This window comes from Homo sapiens, chromosome 6 (assembly GCF_000001405.40).
Source record: "Homo sapiens chromosome 6, GRCh38.p14 Primary Assembly".
Lineage (NCBI taxonomy): Eukaryota > Metazoa > Chordata > Mammalia > Primates > Hominidae > Homo > Homo sapiens.
Window position 1 is genome coordinate 132,990,486 of NC_000006.12, and position 7,871 is coordinate 132,998,356.

Here is a 7,871-nt window from a genome sequence, read left to right on the forward strand (position 1 = left end):
AATGGCTAGGCACCCTGGTGGGAGATCTAAGTTTCTATAATTGATTGCCATCCCTTGTCAATTATATTTCTGAAAAGTTTCTTGGATATACATCTATCTCTGGATTCCCACATATGTTTCCTTAATTAGATTTCCTCAGACTTAACTTCTCACTTCTATATATATTCCACACCTTTACCAGAATATCTTTTAAAATACTAATGCAACCAGGTCACTTTTCTCTTCAAAATCCTTCCATGGTAAATACTGCAGTTAGACAAAATAAATAAATAAAATGTTAAAATAGTTGAAAAATAAGAAATAGGTAAATCACATGATTGTACAATTCAAATCCAAAAGCATCTTCAAACAAGGTAACAGAAATAAGTAAATTTAATACAATTGTTAGATGCAAGATAAACATACAAAGATCAGTTATTTTGATTATTACCAAGAAACAGTGGAAAAAATTGTAAAATTAATTAATTCCATAGTAGCATCAAAAAATTAAATAGTTAAGAATAGATTTAATGAAGGATGCATATTATCTCTACACTGAGAATTATAAAACACTGCTGAGAGATGAAAGGAGACCTAAACAAATGGTAAGACATACCACTTTCAAGAATTGGAAGGCTCAATATTGTTAATATTTAAATTCTCCCCAAACTGATCTATGGAATCAACATTGTTCCAAATGAAATCCCAATGTGTGTGTGTGTGTTGTGCATGTGAAAATTGTCAATTTGATTTTAGAATTATACATAATTGCAAAAGTCTTAGAAAGTACAAGACAATTTTGAAGAAGAGAAACACATTTGGTGGATTTATATTACTGTACTTCAAGATTTACTATCAAGATAGTATATATAGGTGCAACTAAAAAAAAACTAACAAAAGACTCAATGGAATAGAATATAAAAATCGAGAAGTAAACCCACACAAATATGGCCACTTACGTTCCAGAAAGATGTGCATCATTGCAATATGGAAATGATGGCCTTTACAGTAAATGATGCTATAACAATTGGATATCCATACAGAATAAATGAATCTTTAGCCCTATCTCTGATCCATATCTCACACCATACACAAAAATTAATTTGAGATGGATTATAGACCTAAATATATGAATGATAAGACAAAATTTATAAAGTAAATTTTATAGGAAAATATGTTCATGACCTTGGCATAGGCAAAAATTTCTTAAGAAGGACATGTAAAGCACCATCCATAAAACAAAAAAATTTTGATAAATCTGACTTCATTTAAATTAAGATCTCATGTTAATAAGACACCCGTGGAAGAGTGAAAAGAGAAGTCACAGATTAGACGAAGGTATTCACAATGCTTACATGGAACAAAGGACTCCAATTATATTCAGAATAAGTAAATAAAGCATAAGTAAAAGATGAACAACATATTAAAAAAATAAGCAAAGACTTGAACAGACCCTTCAGAAAAGAGGATATCCAAATGGCCAATCAGCATTTGCAAAAGTATTTAATATCATTGCTCATCAGGGAAATACAAATTTAAAACACAAGAAATATCACTATGTTGTACCAGTTCTACTTAAACTAAAAGGACTGCCAATGCTAAATGCTAGGACAGACACAAATCAAAATTCTTATTTTGTAAAATTCTTATACATTGCTGTGAGAAATAAGATTATTACAACCACTTGAGAAAACTGTTTTTGCATTATCTTCTAAAGCTAAAGATAATGACCTAGGAATCTCACTCTTAGATATGTACATGTAAGATATGAGTGTGTATGTCTACATAATGATCTGTACAAAAATATTTATGGCAGTTTTATTTACAATAGCCCCAAACGAAATAATCAACATTTTCAGAGAGAGGAAAATGATGCTACGGACTGAATTGTGTCCTCTCAAAATTCATGCTGAAGCCCTAACCCACAATATGATGGTATATGGAGACTTAGTCTTTGGGACATAATTAGTTTTTGAAGAGGTCATGAGAATGCAGCATTCATGATAGGAAGAGAAAGAGATAGGCACTAAGGAAAGGCCAAGTAAGGACACAGTGAGAAGCTGGCCATCTGTAACCCAAGGAGAGAGGTCTCAGCAGACACCAGTCCTGCTGGCACCTTATTCTTGGACTTTCCAGCCTCCAGAACTGTGAGAAAATAATGTTCTATATGGTATGTTCTTATGGGAGCCCAAGCTGACTAAGACAAATGGTAAATATATTGTGATATATTCATACAAGTAAGGTATACACAGCAGTAAAAATGAATGAACCACTGGCTCACACTACATTAATGGATTGCAAATATATTATGCTGATAGAACAAAGCCAGATACGAAAGAATGCAGACTGTTGAATGTCATTTATATAAAGTTCAAGATAGGCAGAACTAATTGATAGTTACCTCCGAGGGTGAGGAGGGCTCCACTTAGAAGGGACATGAAAGTACCTTATAGGGTATTTCAAATATTGCATGTCTTGATTGGAATGGTTGTTATATATCAAAATTCATTATACCTAAGATCAGAGGATTCTACCTAAGAATGTTTAGAAAAATCTCCACTGGTTCCCTCTTTTTCTTTGCATGACACATAATGGATGTCCTTTATTATTTCAGTTTAATTTCCTCCACCCACCTCCCTGCCCTTTTTTTTCAGACAAAGTCTCACTTTATTGCCCAGGCTGGAGTGCAGTAGCATGATCTCAGCTCACTGCAACCGCCGCCTCCAAGGTTCCATTGTGCTTCACTTGACACATGTGTCTTGGGTTCCAGGTCTGCTACTTCTTAAGCTTCACACTTTTTCAACTCCATACCATCACTCATTCTTATGAATTGTCTCATCTTAAAAGTCCATTACCACTTTCTGCCTAATGAAATCCTACATGTATTTTGGTGTTCAATGCTATTAGTGAATTCTTTTCTGATACTTTTAGGCAGAAATCTTCCTCTGTTAGAACATTGTTCCTATACAAGACAAGTCACAGATTAGAAGAAGGTATTCACAATGATCACATGGAACAAAGAACTCCAATTATATTCAGAATAAATAAATAACTCATAAATTAATTAGGAAAAGATGAACAACATATTAAAAAAATAAACAAAGACTTGAGCATTCATTATTTCCTTCTGCAACTAGCTGCATGTGAATTTTCCCATTAGAGTGTGGACCCGAACCCCTTGAAGGTAAGTACCAGGGCTAGTTTATCTTTACATTTTAGGCATATAGCACAGCACTAAAAAATATATTAGTGCCTAGAGTAATTAACAAGACATACTTTCTAGCCCTGTTGCCCGAGAGAGAAATATAAAGTCATTGCACAAGAAGTGCTGTAGGGTCCATTTTTACTCAAGTGAGATGTCTGATATTTGCGTCAGGAACTGAAAAGGAAGATATTATTAGTGCCAATAGGGCTTTAACTTTTCACCTTCTGTCACCAGAGCAGGAGATGGCTGATGGTGCAAAGAACACTTAATTGTCAGAGAAACTGCAGACCCAGCATTCTTGGAGAGACAGCTGCTGCATTATGCAGCCATTCTCAGGATTAATAGGCATAGACTATACCTTAGTTGGGCTCTTTTTTTGTTTGTTTGTTTGTTTTTTAAGGAAAAAAGGCTCAAGCCATGTACCAAGCAATGTAACAGAACAAAAGGAACTTCAAGGCAGTACATGCATTGAAATTGGAGCGGTAACCCAATTCGCTGTTGGGACTGGGTACTTTATCTCTTTTCTTTGGCAACTATTTTATCCTTTTCCAATTCTTCTTGAACTTGACCCTTCCTTGAATTTGGCCTATCATGATTTCTCTGTTCACTTCTATCACACCCTTTCAATTTTATATTCACCATTAACTGCCTCACTTGATCAATATTACTTAATTCAAGTTCCCAAGGGTGGGAACCCTTGGGATTAACCCAGCTCATCATTTCCTGTTAAGTTATGACCTAGGTCACTAGCCCTTTCCAGCAGGCACCAAATTAAATAATTTCTCCATATATCATCATATACTGATATTTGTATCATGTATTCACTAAATAGCAATTATTAGAGACTCTGATGGTCAAAACTGGTAATCATGCATTTCCTACTTTGAAAAATTGTAATGAGGCTTATTTTGTTTAGCGATTATATCCATATTAGTAGATGTTAAATGAATATTTATTAAATTAACAACAAACCCTTGTGTCTAGAAAATATTCTCTAGTCACTTTCGGAGATGTTACATATACTTAAATGACAGTAGAAACTCAAAGATTGTTGTTGGTTGAGTTGGAAATTTAAATGTGCTTTGCTCATCCTCAGCAAAATAGATTATGATACTCTTGTGAGGATTGCAAATAATTTAAGAAATATCTCAGGGACAGTCCACACATTAAATTTTCTCTTTTTTTGTCTCTGCAAATATTAAATGCATAAAAAATAAAGCTAAGGATGAGACCCATTTCTACACACTTGAGCATGTGTTTGTGGTAGAAAAACGGAGCATCAGATTCAAAGAGTTATTTATATTTCTAGTGGCATGCTTGTTTCTCTAGTAGTTGTGATTTAGGTACCTAAAAAAATACATGTCTGTCATGTAATTTTGTCATTTAGTCAAAATCTAATAAAATTATTAAATTTAAATACAACTTTACAAGTTGTCTGAAGCATGATTTGTTCCGTTTGCATTTTCCTTCAATGGAGCCTTGTCAAGCACTTGGTTGGATTCAGCATCGCTGAAAGTCAGCCCTTAATTCTGACTGCCCTTACAAATGTAGGAGAGCAGCCAGTTTCAACACATGACTCTCGGAGTTCATTTGGGGTTTTGTCGGCAGAGTGCAAAAAATATATATATTTGTTGTTATCGGTTGAGTGTGTAAATTGGCATTTTTCTAGATGTTATATGGCTATATAAATAATATCTGGATATTAAATTATTGGCACAGGCATTTGCAATTTTGAAGAAACTAATTAAGTCTAAATGACTAATTCCCAGTTGCAGAGTCAGGAACACAAAATATGATTCATGGAAGTAGGCAGCACTTCACATCCAAGACATGGTAACGCTTTATTTGTGTGCATTTAAGGAAGACGGTGGCAGGAGTTCATTTGCTGCACCTGTTACCAAAAGTTGTGAAGGCAAGGAAGAGCCTGGAATTGTCTGCACATCATGCCCATTGGCACTTCAGGAATGATCGCTGATGCCAGCCCCACTCTGGTAACCCTGCTTCTGAGAGCCTTGTCATGACTCACACACAATGAGCACTGAGCATGAAGAAACTGAGAGGAGGGCCTGAAAACCTCCACAGAAATCAGGGGTAAACAAAGGAGGCTGTTGAGATGGGAGTAGAGAACTTATTTTCCTTTCTGTTTTGTAACAAGTGATAGGCTTGCATTTACTGATTTAAGAATATTTACAAAGCATATATATTATACTTGTTAGTTTTGCTTCTGTATTTGAATCAGGAGCTATCTTCATCACATACATAATTTTTTTAAAGCACTGACTTTTTCTAAAAAATGTGATGCTTAGGGCTCATATAAAGGATGCTTAGAATTTGTATAAAACTCTTGGTTCCTACTGTTTTGTAACTCTCCATCTGCTCTTCCCATTAAGTAAGAAAACAGAGCAGACAAGCATTGCTTACTGAAACTGCTATGTAGGCAGTCATGTTTTATTTTATTTCACTGCTCAACATTCATTTTCCTTTTTGAAACAGCATCCTTACTGCTATAATCAGAGGCTTGATGTCTTCTAGTCAAGGACAAATCTAGACCAATCAGTTGCCCTGCTTTTGAATGTGAATCTTGAGTAGAACAATAAGCAGTATGTTAATGGTTAGCTTTCCTCCCTCCTGATAGCGGGGTCCTCAGCAGCCTTTGCCAGCTGGGAGACAACGGTGGGAGCTCCTGCTTCTGAGCTTTGGGAACTGACTTACTTTCTGTGTATTCTGAAGCATTGTTCTTCATCCTTTGATACATTTTGGACCCCTCTTCACTCCTTGATTTCCTTCCAATGAATTTTATGTCTGTAGTTTCCAATTACAGAGATTTCACTGATACACTACTTATAATTTTATTTTAAAATTTTCACTCAGAATGCAAATGATCATGATGCAAGTGAAGTTATGAAATAAAAGCAAATCCCTCATAAGTATTATGCATTTATTGTTAATAACAAAATATTTAAAATTATCTCACAATTGTTGGAACCAATATGTCAGAAAACTGTGGTTGAAAAATACTGATATCTGGCCTTAGAAGCTAGCACCTAATGGCAATCTGTTTCCAATTTTTCTGTAGAGATGGTTTCTGAGATCTAGAGACCATCTATAGAGATGGTTTCAAGCTTTAGGATCTGGGAATTTAAGACAACATAATTATACCATTCGTAGGAACCTACTGGAGTGAGAAAAATTCTACCCAGGGGAGCCTTTGGCTAAGCTGAAATGAAAATGGGAGGAAGGAGACTAGGGTGTATGTGGGAAAGACCGGAAGAAGAACTTCAAGGATAAGGTGGGAATAGGTTGAAAGGGAATACACAGTTTTATCATACTGACACTTCTTTGGTGTGTAAGTAATGTTCCTGGGTTTTCCAGGTGGTAAGGCACTAGGTAGGTCATTCATTCACTATGTAGGTTACTTTTTTTTTTTTGAAGTCCTTGTCCTTTATTGGGCAAGGGGTGAGGGAAGCAGACAGACCGGTTGGACATAGTAGATGGGTGTGTGAGGACAAATGCTACCCAAAAGCCAGCCAACCTACACTCCCCTGAAATGGATGCTAATGCCCTTCAAACTCTGCGCAATGGTTTCACACATAGCCTCTTCCAGGGATAAAAGAAGGGGTTATTGTAAAGCTTCTTGTTACCTTCAACCATAAAGGCAAGTTCTGAATTCTAGTTTTCCTGGGACACTAACTCTAGTCACAAAGATCTCTGGAGTGATCAAGCATGGTGGAGTGGCAGGGTGAGTGTTTCAAAAGGATAAGTAGAACAGGAATCTTGCCCGAGTCCTGTTACAACGTCAGTGCCTGTATATGGCTTCTCAGTCCAACCAGAAATTGACAGAGAGGCATGTATACAGTGAAAAGATATACATATATTTAGGATTAACCAGCTGCATTCAGTTTAGATGATCCCAATTTTGTTGGCAACATCCAAAGCATTGTAATCAGGAGGCAGTTGAACGTATGCCTTCTTCTCTCCATCAGGCTGACAGGGTGTTGACCTCGGCCACATCAATGTCATAGAGCTTCTTCACAGCCTGTTTGATCTGGTGCTTGTTGGCTTTAGCATCCACAGTGAACACAAGTGTGTTGTTGTCGTCTGTCTTCTCCGTGGCAGACTCAGTGGTCAGCAGAAACTTGATGATAGCATAGTGATCAAGCTTGTTTCTCCTGGGAATGCTTTTCTGAGGATATTTTTGCTGCCTCTGGAGTCGCAGTGTCTTGGGCCGCCAGAATGTGGGTGACGTGCGATCTTTTTTTGTGTGTATGTGGCTGTGGACACCTTTCAACACTGCCTTCTTGGCCCTTAAAGCCTTCGCTTTGGCTTCTGCTTTGCAGAGGCAGGAGCTTCCTTCTTCACTTTTGGCGCCATCTTGTCTCATGGTTACTTTCATAATGATAGTCACTATATAAGAGAATTGCCTCACTGAAGAGTCTGCTGAGATAGCATTCATTTTGTAGACGAATGGCCACACTGTTGTGATCATAGCTAATTGAACCCACTTGTGAGTCGCTAACACTGGGGCAGCCAATCTACAGTCTGACCAGTGGCCTATAATGATGGCCTGCTATGCAAAGCTCTTTTTAAGCAGGAAATAATCATCATTAGCTAGGACAAACCTTCCTTTCTCTTGGGCATGTCAATAGTGAAATCTATGAAGCATGGTATTCATGTGGTAAAGAGAATG

The 7,871-nt window shown here is 36.7% G+C and overlaps 1 pseudogene; it reads right to left on the minus strand.

Moving 5' to 3' along the window:
- Positions 1–6,888: 6,888 nt before the first annotated feature.
- RPL23AP46 (ribosomal protein L23a pseudogene 46) lies at positions 6,889–7,560 on the minus strand (annotated as a pseudogene).